We start from the raw sequence: 21,818 nt of genomic DNA, 5'->3' as shown, positions 1-21,818 counted from the left end.
TTTCAGTCCCGCTTTGGCTGTGTGACCTTGGGCAAGTCACTTTCCTCTCTGTTTCTGAGTTTCTCCATCTGTAAAATGGGTGTCATAATAGTAACTCTTATTCCCAGGTTTGTCTGAAGACGAAATGAGATTAGGCTCAGTATAACAGATGGGAACTATTGTTGACGATGACAGTCATAATAATATCCTCTTATTTAAGCTACTCTTCCGCAGGACCTCTTTGCCAATGGGGAGCTTGAGCTCTGGGACCCTTAGGTTTGGGGAGGGAGGTGCCTGTAGGTGTGTATTTCCCTTTGGAAGCCAAATTTTCATGCTTTTGTTTCCTGCCTCAGGACTCTTCTCCACAGAGAGCTCCAGGCACTCACAGAAGCCATGTATACCAACCTCCATGCAGTGCTGTTGGGCGATGCTACAGAAGCAGGCAGTGGCTGGCACGAGATGGGTCTCCTCGACTTCTCCTACAGCTTCCTGCTCAGGTGAGGCTGTGCAGCCCCCACCCTCCTGCTGGGGCCCGGCACTTTGACCTGTGTCAGCCATGAGCAGTGGCCAAGGGAACCGTGAGGACTCTGTGGGTGGGGGAAGCAATTTGAGACACCCAAAGCAAAGACTGTAGGAAAGACGCCATGCACCAGGGCCCCGGCTGTTCATCTGACCTAGCTCATGAACTGTAAAAGGAGACACTGGCTGGAAATGGGACCTTACAGGTCATTCAGAGAGGAAGTCACAGAGCAAGACTTCAGAGGTCATCTTGTCCTGTGGCTTCCAGACTTTGGGATTTCACAGAACAGAAAACAAAATGTTTGGGAGATCAACTTGGGACCTTAACCTTTTATCTGGTCTTGTAAATGTATGTTAAAAACTGCACAACCGAACGTTCCTTCCTTCAGCAGTGCCGGGCACTAATCCAGGCTCTGGGGATACAGCAGGGAACAGGACAGATGAAGTCCCCAAATTCACACAGCTGACACTCCAGTGGGGGAGGCCGAATTGAGTTATGTCAGAGAGTGATAAACACGATGACAGAGATCCACGGGTGGGGTGACAGCATCTGGGGGGCTTTCTTAGGCCGACTGACGAGGCAGGGTCATGCTCTGGGGGTCTGGCTTCTGAGCCAAGACCTAACTGCAAAGTGCCCACCACGCCAACACTCTAGGCAGGGGAAACAGCAGGTGCAAAGGCCCAGAGGTGGGAGGAAGCTCAGAGAGACGGCCAGTGTGGCTACAGCATAAAGAGCCAAGGAGGGAAGGTGGACAGGAGGTCAGAGAAGTGGGCAGAAGCAGGCCTCAGGCAGTCGGGAGGTCAGGGAAGGCTTTGGAAATTATGCTGAGTAAGATCGGGTGACATCAGGGGTTTGCACAGGGGCAGGACATGATCTAACTTAGTTTGAAAGCCCCCTCTGGCTGCTGGATGGAGGATGGACTGTAGGGGTAAGGAGGGGTGGAGAGGGAGGCAGGAGGACCTAGCAGGAGGCTGCCAGGTGTCACCAAGGTGAGAGAATGGTGGTGGCCCAGGGAGGTGGTGAGAATTTGGGTAGCTTTTGGAGATAGAGTTCACTGGCTCTGCCGGAAGATTTGACTGGGGCAGCGGTGGGGATGGGGGAGCGTGGGCGTGAGTGAGAGGGATAGAGTGGTGTTAAGGACAGCTCCCTGATTTTAGTGATGCCCTTAACCAACCAGAATTTAATTTAATTTAAATTTAATTTAAAAAAGGACATTTCAACCCCTCCAAGAAATTAGAGCAACATAGTTCTAGGATAAAGGGCAGTCATTCGTTGACACATATGGGCATGTGGGTATATTTATGATATGTGTGTGCATATGTGTAGACTCGGCGTGTCTCAGCTCTTTTAATGCTCACAATCGCTCTAGGAGGCTAGGACTTTACATATTCCATTTGACAGATGAGAAAACTGAGACCTGGAGAGCCTGAGTCATTTGCCCAGAGGCCTGTGTTGGGGTCAGGACAGGGCTGGTCCCAGAGTCTGCACTCTCAGCCACAGCTCTCAGCACACGAACAGTCCCCATTCTTTTTGTTTTGCCCTGGGGTGGTGCAAACAGTGTCAAGGGCTGTAATTGGTGTGGGTGATGCTGGTCTGGTCCACCCTGCATTGTATGATGGGGACTGAGGTCCAGAGAGGGCCAGCTGAAACCACCCAGCAAGTTCACAGTAGTGATCCTCCCAGGTCTCCTGGCTCCTGGGTCCCTGTGCAGACAAAGAAGTCAGAGAGAGATAGGCTGGGGAGAGGCAGGCTCAGGGGCAGCTGGGTCTGGCTAGGCTCCATGGTACAGCGGCAGGCACAGGGGAATCAGCTCAGGGGGAATCAGACGTAAATCCATACCTGTAACCCGGTAACTGTGTCTTCAGGGCCTGAGGCCTGGGCTGGAGCTCCTGCCCCCTGGCTTGGCAGCTGTAGGCCTTTCCACTGCCATCAATCAGCAGCCCCTGAAATACAAAGAGAATGGGCCAGTTGGATGGGAGGGACACAGAGGTGAAAGGGGTGCCGGTTCAGGCAGCCCGAACTGTGAGGTGCCACCTCTTACACCCACCAGCCTGGCCTGTGTTGGCCCTGGCCTCACTGAGTCACACCCAAAGTTCTCCTCTGTCCTCACCTTGTAGCCCTGGCCTCCCCTCCTCCCACCTACCTCTCTGCTGCCCCTTGAGCAGGTCAGGCACGCTCTCTCTTTGTGGCCTTTGCTATTTCTGTTCCCTTGCCTGGGAATGCTGTTCCCCACAGGTCTGCGTGGCTCCCACCCCACTTCGTTTAAGCCTTATCGCGAGCGCCACCTGCTCAGAGAGGTCTTTCTTGAGTCCCATTTTCGTGATGGCTCCCTCCTGTGACCCAGCTTGGTTCAGCTTTATTTTTCTTTGTGGCTCTAGCGCCGCCTGTGGGTCGTGTGTGTATTTACATATGGGATTATCCTGTCTTCAGCCGTGCTCTTTTGATATGGAGCTGCCGGCTTCGCTTCCACAGAGCAAAACCTTGTGGTCCTCTGGGTTTACTTTTTCTTTTTGTTTTCTTTTCCTTCATTTTATTTTATTTTATTTTAAAGACAAAGTTTCGCTCTTTCGCCCAGGCTGGAGTGCAATAATGGCGCGATCTCTGCTCGCTGCAACCTCCGCCTCCCAGATTCAAGCGATTCTCTCGCCTCAGCCTCCTGAGTAGCTGGGACTACAGGTGCCGCCACCATGCCCAGCTAATTTTTGTATTTTTAGTAGAGAGGGGGTTTCACCATGTTGGCCAAGCTGGTCTCGAACTCCTGACCTCAGGTGATATAACCACCTCGGCATCCCAAAGTGCTAGGATTACAGGCGTGAGCCACCTCTCCCGGCCGGTTTACTTTTTTGGTTTATTTTTCATTGCCTGTTTTGGTAGAAATATATGTACCGGGAAATGGTTCTCTGAGTTAGCAAAAAACAACAGTGCAAGTGTGATGATAAATGATGACCAGTGTCAACTGCAGTGTCACCGAGACCACAGGGCCTTGGGAGTACCGCAGTGGCCTGGCAAGCACGTGTCTGTCTAAAAGGGGCGGCTGCAACTCTGCTCCTGCTAGGTTTCCAGGTGGGACCGCAGGTCAGCCAGATTCCTTTTTCAAGATGAGATGAGCAGGAAATCCGGATTTTGTGTGAGTTTCCCCAAATGTTTGAAGGAAGCTTTAGTTTGTTTTTAGGAACTCCCTTGATAAAACACATTTGTGGACTGAATCCAGTGTGTGGGCTGCACCTTTACAACTTCTGCCACCACTGTGCAGGTGAGGGACAGAGCAGGGACCACGCAGGCCTCTCTCGGCCCCCACCTACCCTCATTCCTGCTTCCATTCTCTCTTCATCTGGGAAAACCCCTCTCCTGAGAGATCCTGGTCTCTGGTCTTTGTCTGCACAGGGATCCAGGAGCTCAAGGGGAGGGTGAGAGGGTGAGGCCCCGGGGCTTTGGTTGCGTCTCTTTGTTGTGACTCTCTGCTGAGGCAGAGATGACAAAATGAAAGCCTGCAGTTTCCCTCCCAGGACTGAGGTCAGCCCGCTGGGCTGGGGCTGGACTCCTGGGGCATTTAAAGGGGGCTGGAGGTGAAGGCGCGTCCTCTGAGCGTGGTCCTGTGTGTGTGCGTGTGCGTGTGCGTAAGTGTGCCTCAGTGAGAGCACATGAGAGCTCATGCTAGCTCCCATGTCTTACCCTTTTTCACACTTGACCAGGCCCTGACCTCCTTCTCGGGCCTCCCAGAGCCCCTCAGATCAAGCACAACCTTCTCACTGCTGCAAATGCCTGCCTTGCGTGGCCAGCCCTGACAGCCCAGGCCCTCCCATCCTCTGCCTCACACCCCGGCTCCAGTGCCTGCACCAGCCACAGCTGGCACCTCTCCCACCAGGCACGGTTGCACTCTCAGCTCTGGGCCTTTGCACAGGCTGTGCCTGTTGCCTGAACACGTTCCTCTTCTGCTTCCCCCGATCATCCTGCAGATCTCAGCTCAGACCCTCCCTTCTCTAGGAAGTCTTCCCTGAATCCCTCCCTGGGAGCAGGCATCTCCTCCCCTTCTCTGTGCCCCCATCTCAGCACCGTCCCCTCGAGCTCTCTGCTGCAGCCTCATCAGCCTCCTTGCTGCTCCCCAGCACCGGGCTCCCTCCTGCCCCAGGACATCACACCTGGTGCTTGCTCTGCTTCCTACCCCTCCCTCTGCTCTGCCCATGGCTGACTCCTTCTCAGCCTTCAGCTGTCAGCTTGACACCAGCCCCTCCCTCACCTGGCACCTGACACCACAGCCCCCGCCCTCCCATCCTGCTACCCAGCTTTGTGTCTGACAGTGCCGCGGGGCACCAGCTGGCGCATTATTCATTTTACTCATCCTCTCGTCTGTTGTCTGTCTCCCTGTGCTGAGAGGTCAGCTCCTTGAGGACAGGGATTTTTGTTTTTTTCACTGCCGACTGTTCAGTGCCCAGAATGGTCTTTGGCGCACAGTAGGATTAGTAGTTGCTCACTGGGTGTATGAATGAAGCTCTTGTGAGTAGCTGTGGCCACACATGAGTGTCCCAGGAGGACCCCTGACCCTCTGTCTGCCGCCCCCAGAGCCGGCTACCTGACTCTTTACGGAATTGAGGCGCTGCCACGCACCCATGAAAGCCAGGCCCAGGACCGCGTCCACTCAGCTGATGTCTTCCACACCTTTCGCCAGCTCGACCGGCTGCTCCCCAAACTGGCCCGTGGCTCCCTGTCAGTGGGTAAGCACCATGGGGGCCCCAGTGGGTGGGGGGGAGGATGGAAAGACCCAGAGGGGGAGCCCAATTCAAGGTAGAGGACCAGAGGCAACACAGGCAGAAAGACATCCAATGCCCAGGGAGGCAGTAAGATCCCCATCACTGGGGGTATGCAAGAGCGCAATGGTGGGGAGCCAGGGCTTGGACCAGAGCTTGGGTTCCTGGTGGAAATTCTGATTCAGCACATTTAGAGTGGGGCTGGAGAATCTCTGTGTGTGTGTGTGTTCCTTTTTGTGTTTTAAGGTTTGAGTTGCTTTAAAAGTTTTTACAAGTAGTTCGTGCTGATTATAAAAAATTCAAGCCATATAGAATAATTTACAGGGAAGAATAAAAGAGCGCTCCACTTTCTCCCCAGCCTCAGCCCACCACTTCCCTCTACAGAGGCAACCACCATCACTAGCTTGGAGTACATCCTGGGAGCACTTTCTCTAAACAGACACACAGATGTGTGTTATTTTTATTTTTATTTTATTTTTGAAGCTTTTAACTTCTTGTTTTTTACTGAGGTATAATTTATATACAGGAAAGCACACACATCTAAACGCACTGAGAGGCCAGGTGCAGTGGCTCACACCTGTAATCCCAGCACTTTGGGAGGCTGAGGTGGGCGGATCACTTGAAGTCAGGCGTTTGAGATCAGCCTGGTCAACATGGTGAAACCCCATCTCTACTAAAAATACAAAAATTAGCCAGGCATGGTGGCGGGTGCCTGCATTCCTGGCTACTCGGGAAGCTGAGGCAGAATAGCTTGAACCTGGGAGTTGGAGGTTGCAGTGAGCTGTGATCACGCCACTGCACTCCAGCCTGAGTGACAGAGCCAGACTCTGTCTTAAATAAATAAATAAATAAATAAATAAATAAATAAATAAATGCACTGAGAAGTGGATCTAAACATTTTATGCTCTTTCCCAGCCAGTATTCACCCCTGCGAGGTAGCCACTGGACTGGTTTCTTTTACCTCCAATTAGTTTTGCCTATTCTTCAGCTTCCTAGAAATGGAATCACACAGTATGTGCCCTTTTATGCCTGGCTTCTTTCACTCAACTTGATGTTGGGAGATTCATCCAGGTTGTTGTATGGATCAATAGTCCAGTTTTTATTTATTTTTTGTTTTTTGTCTTAAAAACAATTTTTTTGAGACGGAGTCTTGCTATGTTACCTATACTGGTCTTGAACTCCTGGGCTCAAGCGATCCTCCTGCCTTGGCCTCCCAAAGTGCTGAGATTATGGGAGTGAGCCAGCATGCCTTTTTTTTTTTTTTTTTTTTTTTTTTTTTTCTGAACCAGGGTCTCACTCTGTCACCCAGGCTGGAGTGCAGTGGTGCGATCTCGGCTCACTGCAGCCTCAATCTCCTGGGATCAAGTGATCCTTCCCCCTCAGCTTCTTGAGTAGCTGGGACTACAGGCATATGCCACTAGGCTTGGCTAATTTTTAAATTTTTTTGTAGAGATGAGGTTTCACTATGTTTCCCAGACTGGTCTCCAACTCCTGGGCTCAAGCAATCCTCCCACGTTGGTCTCCCAAAGTGTTGGGATTACAGACGTGAGCCACTGTGCCTGGCCAACAGCTTGTTCTTTTTATTGCCGTATAGTATTTCATTAAAGAAATATGCCACAATTTGTTTATCCATTCCTGGTTGATAGACATTTGAGTAGTCCCCCATTTGGAGCTGTTAGGAAGAGGTTGTTGTGAACATTCTTGTACGTATCTTTCAGTGCACACGTGCATTTCTTTTAGCTGTTGGCCTGTTTTTTGTTTTGTTTTTGTTTTTGTTTTTTTGAGACAGAGTCTTGCCCTGTTGCCCAGGCTGGAATGCAGCGGCACAATCTCGGCTCGCTGCAACCTCTGCTTCCCGGGGTCAAGCAATTCTCCTGCCTCAGCCTCCTGAGTAGCTGGGATTACAGGCACGCACCACCACGCCTGGTTATTTTTTGTATTTTTAGTAGAGACAGTGTTTCGCCATGTTGGCCAGGCTGGTCTTAAACTCCTGACCTCAGGAGATCTGCCTGCCTCGGCCTCCCAAAGTGTTGGGATTACAGGCATGAGCCACCACGCCCTGCCTAGCCTGTACTTCTATAACTTAGATATATCACACTAGAAGAATTGTTGTACCGCTTACAGCTTTCACTCAACTCCCTGTCTACAGCATTTCCACATCGATTTGTAAAAATCTACCTCATCTGTTTTTGTGGCTGCAGAGCGTACTTAGTGTTGGTAGAGTGTCCTGGCTGATTCCGTGTGCAGGGGCCGTAGGAACCACTGGGCGGCGCCATTCCCTGGGCCATGTGCCCCCAACTTCCCTGATGAGCAGAATCCTCTCAGGCCCTTCTTCATAACGTAGGTCCCTCAGCCCCATCCAGGTCCATAGGAATCCAGGTCTCCAGGGGAGAGCTTGGAAAACTGCATGTCTGACAAGTGTCCTGAGAAGGCTGGGAAGTGCTGTGTGTGCTGGGCTCAGAGACTTGCAGCAGAGGCCTGGATTTGAATTCCTGCGCTGCTGCTTCCTTGCTGGTGACTCGGAGCAAGTTACTTCTACTTGCCCCAGTTCCTTTCTCTGGAGGGACCGTGGAGGGGAGTGGCTAAGACAGAGTCTGGGCTCTGACGGCTTGAAGAGCTTTACCAGCTCCCCCTCCCAGCATCTGTGTGTTTTCTCTGTGCCTCAGCGATCTCATCTGCAAAATGGGGGGAACAGCAGGATCTTCCTAGAGGGCAGCTGTTAGAATTGGCTGAGGTAACAAGAAAAAGCACTGTGGCCGGGCGCGGAGGCTCATGCCTGTAATCCCAGCACTTTGGGAGGCCGTGACGGGTGGATCACCTAAGGTGAGGAGTTCAAGACCAGCCTGGACAACATGGCGGAACCCTGTCTCTACTAAAAATACAAAAAAATTAGCTGGGCGTGGTGGTGGGCGCCTGTAATCTCAGCTACCCGGGAAGCTGAGGTAGGAGAATTGCTAGAACCCTGCGGGTGGAGGTTGCACTGAGCCGAGATTGTGCCACTGCACTCCAGCCTGGGCGACAGAGTGAGACTCCGTCTCAAAAAAAAAAAAAAAAAAAAGAAAGAAAGAAAGAAAGAAAGAAAAGAAAAAAAGAAAAAGCACTGTTTGCTGAGCACTTACTATGTGCCAGATACGAGGTTAAGCATTGTCATAGTCAGTGCTCAAACACTTCATCACCCATTTCCTTTTGCTTATATATTTTTAAAAAGCCAAACTTTAATGCATTATTGATTTTGTTTACATTATGAGAGAATCATAATCTTGTGGTTAACAATTCAGAGTTACAGGTTGTATAAAATATAATACCCCTTCTTCCAAGCCCAGCTTCCTGTGAAGCCAATGTTAGCATGGTGGTATTATCCCTTCATGGTATTTTGTATGTTCTCACAACTAGAGACAAATATGCACATCTACAGTGTCTCTGTGTTTACAAAGAAAAATTGTATCTGTTATTTACAACCTGTTTTTAACCTAACAATATAGCTGTACATTCTTCTCTGTTGATATAAACATCTTTTAGAGATATTAGCTGATGCAATTAAACAAGAGAAACCAATTATAGACATCAGAATGGGTAAAGAAGTAAAACTATTCCTATTTGCAGATGATCTGATATTGTACCTGGAGAACCCCAGAAAATCAATAATAAAACAAACTCCAGCAATAAATGAATCCAGCAAAGTAGAAGGATATGAAATTAACATTAAAAATACAAGACATCTGGCCGAGCACGGTGGCTCATGCCTGTAATCTTAGCACTTTGGGAGGCTGAGACAGGTAGATCACTTGAGGTCAGGAGTTTGCGACCAGCCTGGCCAACATGGCGAAACCCCATCTCTACCAAAAATACAAAAAATTAGCCGGGCATGGCGGCAAGCGCCTGTAATCCCACCTACTTGGGAGGCTGAGGTGGGAGGATCACTTGAGCCTGGTGAGACAGAGGTTACAGTGAGCCAAGATCACGCCACTGCACTCCAGCCTGGGTGACAGAGCAAGACTCCATCTCAAAACAAAAACAAAAACAAAAAACCAATACATTTTTTTAGCCCTCACATGGCTGTTTCAGTAGTTAGCCATTTCCCTCTGACAGATGTCAATATTCTATCTTTCTTTCTTTTTGCTTTTATACCATTTCATTGTACTTGTATCTGTTCTACCATCTGGTTATTTCATTTCTCTCTGCCCACTTCTTAGAAGTGGTTTTGCCAGGTCAAAGGCCCTATACATTAAAATTTTTATCTGCTTCTGCCACATCATTTCCAAAACCACAGAGCAATTCATCCGCCTACCTAAAGGGAAGAAATCTGCTCCACCAGATGCCATCAATCTTTCCATTTATTTGCTAATCTGATGGGCAGAGGTGGGTAACTTATTGCTTTAATTTGCATGTTACCACAACCTTGCCAACATGCAGTTATCAGCCTTTAAATAATTGCCAATCTGATGGAAAAAAGGACATCTGGCTCTATGTGGCATATCACTGACTACTGTGATGAAACATCTCTGGGTGTGTGTGGTTTTTTTGTTGTTTTGAAACAGAGTCTTGCTCTGTCACCCAGACTGGAGTGCAGTAGCGAGACCTCGGCTCACTGCAATCTTGACCTCCCAGGCTCAAGCGATCCTCCCAACTCAGCCTCCCAAGTAGCTGGGACTACAGGCACGTGCCACTGAGCCTGGTTAATTTTTGTATTTTTTTGTGTTTCAGTAGCCATTTGCATTTCCTGTTTATGAGCCGGCTGTTTGTGTCCTTTATTATCTTTTTAGAGGAACTCATTTGAGCTTATCAAATCTTGCCATCCATGCTGGAAGGTTGTTATTCACATACCCATGTTGCAGATAAGGAAACTGAGGCTCAGAGAGGTGAGATCACTTGTCATAGACATGCAGCTGGTAGGTGGAAACTTGGTCTGTCTGTCTGCAAAATCCTGTGCATAAAGCACCTGCCACATCCTAGCACTGATTGCTTCCCCAGGAAAAATTGGGTTTCTCCATTACCATTTCCTCCACACAGATGCTCCAGAGGAGTCTGATTAGACGCAGAGGAACTCCCCCCATCACTCTGGGAGCAGCCCTGGGCTGGCTATAGGAAGGATGCATTTCTCAATATGAGCAGCAGGTGGCAATGTGGGACGGTGATTTCTCATCTTAATTGGGACCAGAGGCATGTGGGCAAAGCAGCCCCCGAACATTGCTGTGGGGTGCTTGAAGCATTGCAGCCTCTTTTGGCAGAACCTGCTGAAACATAAAATAAAATGCACATTCCTTTGATCCTGTACTTCCACTTCTAGGAATTTATCCTACATAAATGCTTGCACATGTCTACAGATACACAAACATATTCATTGTCACATTGCTTATAATTGCAAATGCTAGAAACAATTTAAAGTCCATCAGTAAGGGCTGATTAAATAAATTATGCATTCATCTAAAGGCCATCTATGCATCTAAAACAGAGTGGGACATACTGGTAGTGAATGAAATCTACTGTTACAAAAAAGAGCAAGCTGCAGGCAGAGGGTATACTATATCACTATATATACATACATTTTATATATATATATATATGTTTTTGCTTTTGAGACAGAGTCTTGCTCTGTTGCCCAGGTTGGAGTGCAGTGGCACGATCTTAGCTCACTGCAACCTCTGCCTCCCAGGTTCAAGCAATTCTCCTGCCTCAGCCCCCCGAGTAGCTGGGATTACAGGCACGTACCACCACCCCCGGATAATGTGTTTGTACTTTTTTAGTAGAGCTGGGGTTTCATCACATTGGCCAGGCTGGTTTTGAACTCCTGACCTCAAGTGATCTGCCTGCTTCAGCCTCCCAAAGTGCTAGGATTACCGGTGTGAGCCACCACACCCGGCCATTTTTAAAAATGTGGGAGTATGTATAGATTTTTGCCTTTGGGAAGGCCGAGAAGGGGTGGAGAGAAAATCATTTTTTACAAGATGTGGACTTGAACTCTTAGATTCTTTATTTTTCTTCTTTTTTTTCTGTATGCATACATTATTCTTCCTTCACTTTTTAAAGTATAAATATATTTTAAAAGAAAGTTAATCCTTTGAGAACCCTTAGGCCATTGAGTCTGGTGTTTCTCATACAGTAGGGAGTTGGGGGCAGGGGACAGTTAAACAGACCCCCTAGCTAAGCATAGTGCTTCTGTCTGGAACATTTATTTTACTGGATTATTTTGGGGGGCTGTTTATTTGAACATTGTTTTGGGGAAAAAGGCATTCTTATATCAAAGAATCACAGAGTCTGATGCAAAACTCTGATGCATTTCAAAGGTAAAACACAAGACTTTAAAGACATGTGTCTTCTGGGGGCCTCTCTGTACTATGCCCCCAAATCTAGAGGGCCTAGAGGGCTTTCCCAGAAAAAACTTGAGAGGTATTCAAGTCTGGGTCCTCATTTTTTGGATGAGGAGACTGAGGTCCAGAGATGGGCAGGGGCTCAGCCGAGGCTACATAGCATGGGGACTCTGGGATTTAAACCAGATACACCAATCTGGTTTAAATTGGTGGGCTGCCAATCACCGTGGGCCTGGCAGCCCTCATTCATGGCATCCGGTTATCACACCAATAAGAAATACCTCGTAATAATGGAGAGAATGTAGCAAGTAGCATTTTACAAACTTCTACCGATACCAAGTGTGTTCTGTGTGTGATCTTTCTGAATCCTCCTGACCATCCTATGAGCTAGATGGCCCTCATTTTACACATGGGGGAAACTGAGGCTCAGAGATGCAAAGTGACTTGGCCAAGGTCATCTCGTTAGAAAGGGAAGAGCTGGGATTTCAATGCTCTCTGTCTTCAAACTTTGTGCTCTGTATTTCGCAATTTATTATTGTTTCTTAATTAAAGAAGCAATTCATGAACATGTTCTCCTTGGGCTAATAATTTGCTAACATTCAGTAAGATTTGTTATTTAATAATATAGCGTTTATTAGGACTGTGTCAGTCATCTCTGTGCTTTAGATGTTAATAACGCATTTGATCTGTATATAACCCTCTGTGGTGGGTACTTTTATTATCCCAATTTACAGGCAAGAAAACTGAGATGCTGAGATGTGAGGTGACTTGTTCAAGGTCAGGCACTCTGCTACAGCACTGGGCCTCTTAACTGGGCTCCTCTGACTTTTGTTAAAAAAAAATCAAATATTTCAAAAAGGAAAATTCTCTTTTGACCACATTCCCTCTAAATCTATCCCCAGGTAACTATTGCTATCTGTTTGCTGTTATCCTTCTAGAACAGTGCTGTACATAGACAAATAATGGGAATCACATTTGTAATTTAAAATTTTCTATTAGACACACTAAAAAAGAAAAATAGAAGTGAAATCGATTTTAATAATACATTTTATTTAAGCCAATACATCTAAAATATTATTAGCATTTTAGCATTAACCAATGTTAAAATTATTGATAAGATATTTTACATTTTGTTTCTCATGCTGACTCTGGAATCCAGTGTCTCCCCTACCCTATATTAAATGTGGCTGCATTCGAGCCAGCCGCATTTCAAATGCTCCATAACTCCCTGGGGCTTGCGGCTACTCTGTTTCCCAGAACAACACTTGGCCTTTATGCAGACATTAAAATACAGCATGAGGCTGCGCACAGTGGCTCACACCTGTAATCCAGCACTTTGGGAGGCCAAGGCAGGAGAATCACTTTTGTTCAGGAGTTTGAGGCCAGCCTGGGCAATATAGACAGACCTTGTCTCTACAAAATATAATAATAATAATTAGCCAGTTGTGGTGGCTCACACCTGTAGTCTCAACTACTCAGGAAGCTGAGGTGGGAGGATCACTTGAGCCCAGGAGGTTGAGGGTGCAGTGAGCCAGACTACGCCATTGCACTCCAGCCTGAGTGACAGAGCAAGACCTTGTCTCAAAAGAAAAAAAACAACAAAATAGCAAATTGTACTGGAATCCCAAGTAGACAGCAAGCCTCTGTTTTCCCAGTGGGAAGATTTTTAAAATTTTGTCTTTTTTTGATTTTTGGGGCAACCTAAATATTGAAATAATTAGGAATGGAAGTAAATAGTTGCATTTCTCCGTATCTGTTTTGTTGAACGTCTGTAGTGAATTGTATAAATGTGCTGTAACCATTTCGAACATTTGCTTTCTTCCCACGACCACATTTCAGGAGGGGGCTTTATGCAGACTCCCCCTTTAACTACACAGCTTTGCTCATCTGCAGGGCCCCAGGTTGAGCCACCAAGCTCAGTTTTCCAGAATCTTCTCTTCCTCACTCCCATATGCACTGAATTCCTTGAATCTCTACAGTATATGATGTTTCACTGGAAATTATTTTTGGGGGGTTTGCCAGATTTTCTATTATTTTATTTTAAAAATTATTTCGCGTGGTTTAAACATTAAAAATGTAAAGTAGATTACAAACCACATACCCGATATGGGGTTAACATCCAAAATAGATAAGGAACTCATACAACTCAATACCAAAAATTCCAAATAACATCTGGGAGCGGTGGCTCACACCTGTAATCCCAACACTTTGGGAGGCCGAGTTGGGCAGATCACGAGGTCAAGAGATCGAGACCATCCTGGCCAATATGGTGAGACCCTGTCTCTACTAAAAAATACAAAAATTAGCTGGGCGTGGTGGTGCACGCCTGTAGTCTCAGCTACTCGGGAGGCTGAGGCAGGAGAATTGCTTGAACCCGGGAGGTGGAAGTTGCAGTGAGCCGAGATCACGCCACTGCACTCCAGCCTGGCGACAGAGCGAGACTCTGCCTCAAAAAACACAAAAATCCAAATAACCTGACTGCAAAATGGACAAAGGACCAGAATAGGCATTTTTCCCAAAGAAGACATACAAATGGCAACAGGTATGAAAAGGTGTTCAACATCACTACTCATTGGGGAAATGCAAATCAAAATCACAAGGAGATATCACCACACACCCGTTAGAAATGTCAAAAGATGACAAATATTGGCAAGGATGTGGAGAAAAGAGAACTCTTTCGCACTGGTGGTGGGAATTTAAATTGGTATAGCCATCATGGAGAACAGTATGGAGGTTCCTAAAAAATCAAAAATAGAGCTACCACATGATCCAGCAATCCCTCTTCTAGGTATATATTCAAAGGAAATGAAATCACTGTCTTGAAGAGATGTCTGCACCTCCAATTCATTGCAGCATTATTCACAACAGCTGAGACATGGAAACAAACTAAGTGTCCATCAGTGCATGAACAGATACAGAGATAGTGGTACAATGGCCCCCTCTTAACCTCAGGGGATATGTTCCAAGACCCCCAGTGGATGTCAGGAACCATGGGTGGTACTGAACCCTGTATATACTGTTTTGTCTTATACATACATAACTATGACAGAGTTTAATTTTTTTTTTTTTTTTTTGAGACAGAGTTTCGTTTTTGTCTCCCAGGCTGGAATGCAATGGTGCAATCTTGGCTCACCACAACCTCCGCCCCCCAGATTCAAGCGATTCTCCTGCCTCAGCCTCCTGAGTAGCTGGGATTACAGGCATGCACCACCACACCCAGCTAATTTTGTATTTTTAGTAGAGACAGGGTTTCTCTGTGTTGGTCATACTGGACTCGAACTCCCGACCTCAGGTGATCCGCCCACGTCGGCCTTCCAAAGTGCTGGGATTACAGGCGTGAGCCACCATGCCTGGCCTGATAAAGTTTAATTTATAAATGAGGCACAGTAAGAGATTAACAACATAATAAAATGAAACCAATTATAACGATATACTGTAATGAAAACAAAATAAGGGTTACCTGAACACAAGTACTACCATACCATGACAGTTGACGTGATAACTGAGACAGTGGCTCCCAAGTGACTAATGGGCAGGTGTGGTCTACAGTGTGGATACACCGGACAGAGGGATGATTCACCCCCCAGGCAAGATGGAGCAGGATGGCACAAGAGTTCATCATGCTACTCAGAATGGTGTGCGATTTCAAACTTAGGGAGTTTTTCATTTAATATTCTTGGACCATGGTTGACTATGGGTGATGGAAACCTTGGAAAGTGAAACTGGATAAGACAGGACTGCTGTGTATGTAAATCCACGAAAGAATGTTATTCAGCCATAAAAAGGGAGAAATCCTGCCATTTGTAACAATATAGATGAACTTGGAAGACAATATTGTAAGTGAAATAAGCCAGACACAGAAAATCAAATACCGCATTATGTCATTTATACGTGGGAGCTAAAAAAGTTGAATTCAGAGGAACAGTAGAACAGTGGTTACCAGGGCTCAGGAGGTGGGGAAATGGGGGTGTGTTGGTTGAGGGTATAAACTTTGAGTTATAAAATGAATAAGTTCTGGAGATTTAATATACAAGTATACAATGTATTGTATACTTGAAATTTGCTAAGAGAGTGGATCTTAAGTATTCTCACCATGCATGCACGTGTGAGTGTGCACCTATGTAAGGTGATGGATATGCTAATTAGCTTGATTGCAGCAATCATTTCACACCATATTTGTGTATCAAAACATCATGTTGTACAACTTAAATAAGAATTTTCCTTTGTCAATTATACCTCAGCAAGGCTGGAAAAAAATTAAGTAATAACAGTGGTAAGTCTCCTTCCTTTTCTTGTCACATCCCCTTCCACCAATTCCCACTGCTCATAATTGATTAGTTTTATTAGTTTCAAATGGATCCTTCTAGAGTTCCTTCACACAAGTGCAAGTGAATGTGACTATATTCTTATTTTTCTTTTTTTCCACAAATGCATACTAAACACGTGGTTGCTGGCACTTTGCTTTGTGCTAACAATATATCACAGCAATAGATAACTCTTGGGTAAGGTTTAGTGTGTCCTCTACACTGCTCTAAGGGATATACAAATGTAAACTGATTTGATCCATGATCCAATCACTGCTATATATATATTTTTTTTGTTTTTGAGACAGAGTCTTGCTTGCTCTGTTGTCCAGCCTGGAGTGCAGTGGTGCAATCTCCGCTCACTGCAACCTCTGCCTCCTGGGTTCAAGCGATTCTCCTGCCCCAGCCTCCTGAGTAGCTGGGACTACAGGCGCCCACCACCATGCTTGGCTAATTTTTGTATTTTTATATTTTTGTTAGAGATGGGGTTTCACCATGTTGGCCAGGCTGGTCTCGAACTCCTGACCTCAGGTGATCTGCCCGTCTCGGCCTCCCCAAGTGCTGGGATTACAGGAGTGAGCCACTGCACCCAGCCCACTGCTATATTTTTATCCTGTGTTTTTTGCCAGGCAGGACAGAGCAGGATGGCACAAGATTTCAACACACTACTCAGAACAGCATGTAATTTAAAACTTATGACTGTTTATGTCCGGAATTTTTCATTTAATATTTTTGGACCATGGTTGACCATGGGTAACTGAAACCTTGGAATTCAAATTCTTTTGTATTTTGAGTATCACTCTGTCACCCAGGCTGGAGTGCAGTGGCTCCATCTCAGCTCACTGCAACCTCCACCTCCCGGGTTCAAGTGATTCTGCTGCCTCAGCCTCCCAAGTAACTGGGATTACAGGTGCCTGCCACCACCCCCAGCTTATCCTTTTTTGTATTTTTAGTAGAGACGGGGTTTCACCATGTTGGTCAGGCTGGCTTCAAACTCCTGAACTCAAGTGATCTGCCCACCTTGGCCTCCCAAAGTGTTGGGATTACATGCGTGAGCCACTGCACCCGCCCAGAATGCAAATTCTTTGTTATACAACACTATCTTTGACTCATTTTTGCCAAATGACCTTCATATGCCTTTTAAAAAAATTGTGGTAAAATAATAAATAACATAAAATATACTATTTTAACCATTTTAATTGTATAATTCAGTGGCAGTAAATACATTCACAATGTTGTATAACCATGCCGTTATCTATTTCCAGAAACTTTTCATGATTCTAAACAAAAGCTTTGTGCCCATTAAACAATAATTCCCCACCTGCCTTTCCTCCCAGCCCGACATATCTTCTATTCTACTTTCTGTCTCTTCTATTCTACTTTCTATTCTACTTTCTGTCGAATAGTATACTTCTATTGTACTTTCTGTCTCTGAATTTCCTGTTCTAGGATTCTCATTATATGAGATTTTGGAGACAGAGTCTCTGTCGCCCAGGCTGGAGTGCAGTGTCGCCATCTCAGCTCACTACAATCTCCGCCTCCCGGGTTCAAGCTATTCTTGTGCCTCAGCCTCCTGAGTAGCTGGGATTACAGGTACACACCACCATGCCTGGCTAATTTTTTTTTTTTTTTTTTGTATTTTAGTAGAGACAGGGTTTCACCATGTTGCCCATGCTGGTTCTCTAACTCCTGAGCCCAGGAAATCTGCCCACCTTGGCCTCCCAAGGTGCTAGGATTGCAGGCGTGAGCCACCATGCCTGGCATATGCGTCAGAATTTCATTCCTTTTTAAGAGTGAATACATTGTGTGTATATACTGCATTCTATTTATCCATTCACCTATCAACCGACATTTGGGTTGTTTCTGCCTTTTGGCTACTGTGAATAATGCTGCTATGAACATTGGTGCACGAGTATCTGTTTGAGTCTCTGGTTTCAGTTCTTTGGGCTATATACCTAGAACTAGAATTACTGGATCATATGGTAATTCTTTAACTTTCTGAGGAACTGCTAAACTCTTTTTCACAGCAACTGCAGTATTTTACATTCCCACCAGCAATGCATAAGGGTTCCAATTTCTCCACGTCCTCACCATCACTTATTTCCTATGTTTTAAATAGTAGCCATCCTCATGGTTGTGAATGGTATCACACTGTGGTTTTTACATGCATTTTCTAATGACTAATGGTGTTGAGCATTGTTTCATGTGTTTATCAGCCATTTGTATCTCTTCTTTGGAGAAATATCTATTCAAGTCCTTTGCCAATTTTCAAATCAGGTTGTTTGTTTTTTATTGTTGTTGAGTCGTAGGAGTTCTTTTATATATTTTGGGTGTTAGACCCTTATCAGATATATTATTTACAAATATTTTCTCACTTTCTGTCAGCTGTCTTTTCATACTGCATTACCTTTTTTGCTTAATTATTCATTGATTGTGCAAATATAGAGTGCCTCCTATGTACTCAGAACTGCTGTAGGCACAGGGGAAAAGTGGAGAATGGTCCTGCCTTGCTTTTTAAAGTCATCTGTAAACGCCGTGTTTACAGTGATATTCAAGATTGCAGTTGTGTGGTCAGACTTCAAAGAATGCCAGTTATTTCTAAAGCTGTGTTAAATTTCTTTGCCTCTTTTTTTAGCCATCCCATCAGATGATGCTTAGAAGTATCCAGAGTTGGCATCAACTGAGGTGGTTTCAACACTGCCCGCGCCCTGCAGGCCTAAACCTCTGGATGCCCAGTTCCCACGCACGTGATTTTGACATGATCAATCTGGGGTTGGCACCTGGGCATCCAGAGATTTAAGAGCTCCCAGGTAATTCTTCAGAGAGCCTGAAAAGTGGAGAAACATAGGAAGATAATGTATTTCAGTTGAACACTTAAGCTTATTGCTTTACATTGAAATGTCACCCGAAATGGTGACATTCATTTCAATGTAAAACAATGAGCTCAAGTTGAAGTCTAAAAGTTAAACATATTCAGCGTATTATTTGAAAATGAAGCCAACATACTTTAAAAAAAAAACATAGTCTACATTTTCGACCCTTTCAAATGCCCTGTGAGGTGCAGCCAGGTTTAGAATCGCTGGTGGGGCGAGTCTTCCTGAAACACGGCTTGTGGTTCAGAAGAGTCAGTGAGGGAGTTTCCAATACTTTGAAACTTCAGAGCAATCCAAAATGACTCTCACTTTTCCAAGGGGTGATTTCGGAGAAAACCAAATTTTATATTTTATATTTTTGTTTTAAACTTTATATTTGTGCATATAAATAGCATTACCGTGGAGCTTTAAAACAATGTATATTAAGGCTCATGTATGGTTCATGAAAATATTTTAAAAAAAAAAAAAGAAGTAGAAAAGAAAACAATATCTAAATAGTGTCATTCTTCAGTGCCCGGCTTTATCCCCTTACCAGTCTGCCCTTGGGAACTCTCTGTGTCTGTAGGTAAAATGTACTAACTCACTTTCACTGCTGTATGTTTCCAGAACATAAACACACCATTGTCTGTTTAATGGTGATGCACGCTAGTGATCTGTGGGCCAAAGTTGACCTTCAGAGATGCTTCTGTGGTCTGCACAGTGATTAAAAACTTTTTACTTGGATGCTAACCTTAAAAAACATCAGAAGGTTATACATAATTGTCTGGATTATCAGCTTCCTTTGAAAGCACAGGCCTTCTGGCCATGCTGGGGTGTTTCCCTCTCCTGCCGAGGGCTGGTTGGTGGGCTAAGTGCCATGGCCCCTTTCTGGCCCGTCTCTCTTTTACTTGGCCTGCCTTCTCTGGAGTGAGTTGAGTTTGAGACTCCAGCCCAATCTGCCAGTTAGGTTGTTGCTGATGTCTTTCTGTGATTGCTGCTGTGCTGAGCCTGCTCACAGTGGCCTCCTCCTCATGCACATGGGCTGGCATTGCTCTGGGGTTGGACCCTGGGGAGGGAGAATGCTGCTCAGTGTTTAGTGTTCCTTCTCCTGCTCTGGAAAGAACTACCATTTATTTAATGCATGATATAGTTTTGCTGTGTCCCCACCCAAATCTCATCTTGAACTGTAGCTCCCATAATTCTCATGTGTTGTGGGAGGGACCCAGTGGGAGATAACTGAATCATGGGGGTGGTTTCCCCCATACTGTTCTCCTTGTAGTGAATAAGTCTCATGAGATCTGATGATTTTGTAAGTGGTTTCTCCTTTTGCTTGGCTTTCATTTTCTCTTGCTTGCCGCCATGTAAGATGTGCCTTTCACCTTCCACTATGATTATGAGGCCTCCCCAGCCACATGGAACTGTGAGTCCATTAAACCTATTTTTTAAAAAATAAATAAATAAATAAATTACCCAGTCTCAAGTATGTCTTTGTCAGCAGCATGAAAACAGACTAATACAATGCATATTTATTGAGCACCTGCTACGGGCCGGGTGATGGGGACATAGAGGTGATTGAAATAGATCAGGCTCCCACCTGCAGGAGACAAGACCCCTTGCTTCTTTTTACTGGGGGTAAGACAGATAATAAGCAATTTGGTATTGAAAGGGCTTCCTGCTGTGGGCCTGTCCTGCAGCTTCTTTCCCACAGGAACTCCCCACCCTCAATGAGTGACATTCAGAAGACCCTTGGCCTCATGGGAGGTCATGCCTGGCCAGCCCTGGGTGTGGGATGGTGAATCTGTAACCCCTACTCTCTGTGCTCTGTCCCTGCAGGGGACAAGGACCACATGTGCAGTGTCAAAAGTCGCCTGTGGAAGCTGCTATCCCCAGCCAGGCTGGCCAGGCGGGCCCACCGGAGCAAATGGCTGGAGAGTTACCTGCTGCACCTGGAGGAGATGGGTGTGTCAGAGGAGATGCAGGCACGGGCCCTGGTGCTGCAGCTGTGGGCCACACAGGTGGGTGTGAATGTGCAAGTGGGTGTGTGCAGGTGTGCATGTGTGGTTGCGATATGAACGCATGTGTGTGTGCATGTCTGTGCACCTGTGCAGGTGTGCACATGACTATGCCTGTGTGTGCATGTGTATGTAGGTGTGCATTTGTGAGTGTGTGCTGATGTGAGTGTGGGTGTGTGCACACATACCCACTGCCCAAACCAGTTCCCTGACTTCCTTTACTGTCAAATAGCATCACGAACAGAAACATTCATTCGGTATTCTTTTCTTTTTTTTTCTTTTGAGACAGAGTCTCGCTCTGTTGCCCAGGCTGGAGTGCAGTGGCTCGATCTCAGCTCACTGCAACCTCCGCCTCCCAGGTTCAAGTGATTCTCATGCCTCAGCCTCCCGAGTAGCTGGGACCACAGTTGCCTGCCACCATGCCTGGCTAATTTTTGTATTTTTAGTAGAAATGGGGCCAGGCTGGTCTCAAACTTGACCTCAAGTGATCTGCCTGCCTCGGCCTCTGGAAGTGCTGGGATTACAGTGTGAGCCACCACGCCCAGCTTCTTTTTGTTTTTTGTTTTTTGTTTTTGTTTTTTTTTAATTTGGAAAAATGTTAAATTTATAGAAAAGTTTAATAAATAGTTTAATGAACTCCTATATATGCCTCACCTTGATTCCCCAGTTTTAAACATTTTACCACCTTTGCTTTCTCTCTCTCTGTCTCTCTCTCTCTTATGCTCTCTTTTCCCCACTGGGATTATTTTATTGAAATAATTTGGGAATAAGTTGCAGATATCATGCTTTTTTATCCCTAATTGCTTGAGTGTAAGCAAGAACATCTCCTGCATGACCACAGTACAATAACCAATTTCAGGATAATGAGCCCAAATACATGATCATTATCTAATAAACAATCTGTATTCCAGTTTTGCCAGTTGTCTCAATAATGTCCTTTTTGGTTCATCTTGGTCCAGCATCCAATCCAGAATCACACGTTGCATTTAGTCATTCTGACTCTTCTGTTTTCTTTTCTTTTAATTTTTTTATTTTTTTGAGATGGAGTCTTGCTCTGTCGCCAGGCTGGAGTGCAGTGGCATAATCTCGGCTCACGGC

At 45.7% G+C, this 21,818-nt stretch overlaps 1 protein-coding gene across 2 annotated transcripts in view, besides 2 other annotated features; it reads left to right on the top strand.

Annotated features, from left to right (window-relative positions):
- Positions 1–21,818, top strand: part of PTGIS (prostaglandin I2 synthase) — a 64,264-nt gene that overhangs the window by 23,357 nt on the left and 19,089 nt on the right. The window contains exons 4-6 of one of the 2 annotated variants that reach the window (NM_000961.4): positions 333–476; positions 5,060–5,211; positions 20,542–20,723. In NM_000961.4, coding sequence (NP_000952.1) covers positions 333–476; positions 5,060–5,211; positions 20,542–20,723 — 478 coding nt within the window. Of the gene's footprint in view, positions 1–332; positions 477–5,059; positions 5,212–14,654; positions 19,931–20,541; positions 20,724–21,818 lie in introns of those variants that run through there. The other variant, XM_047440325.1, reaches the window with a different exon arrangement.
- Positions 2,199–2,475: a silencer, noted in NCBI's record as "fragment chr20:48158843-48159119 (GRCh37/hg19 assembly coordinates)". NCBI's record gives its function as "represses an EF-1alpha promoter that drives an FKBP-Casp9 reporter gene in an ReSE screen in K562 erythroleukemia cells {active_cell/tissue: K562}" and the evidence as "EXISTENCE:reporter gene assay evidence [ECO:0000049][PMID:32094911]".
- Positions 2,931–2,980: an enhancer, noted in NCBI's record as "active region_18062". NCBI's record gives its function as "activates an Ori minimal core promoter by ATAC-STARR-seq in GM12878 lymphoblastoid cells {active_cell/tissue: GM12878}" and the evidence as "EXISTENCE:reporter gene assay evidence [ECO:0000049][PMID:35858748]".

Source organism: Homo sapiens, chromosome 20 (assembly GCF_000001405.40).
Source record: "Homo sapiens chromosome 20, GRCh38.p14 Primary Assembly".
In the NCBI taxonomy this organism is placed as follows: domain Eukaryota; kingdom Metazoa; phylum Chordata; class Mammalia; order Primates; family Hominidae; genus Homo; species Homo sapiens.
The sequence above is the reverse complement of the archived record's forward strand: the minus strand, read 5'-3'. Positions and strand labels throughout refer to the sequence as shown.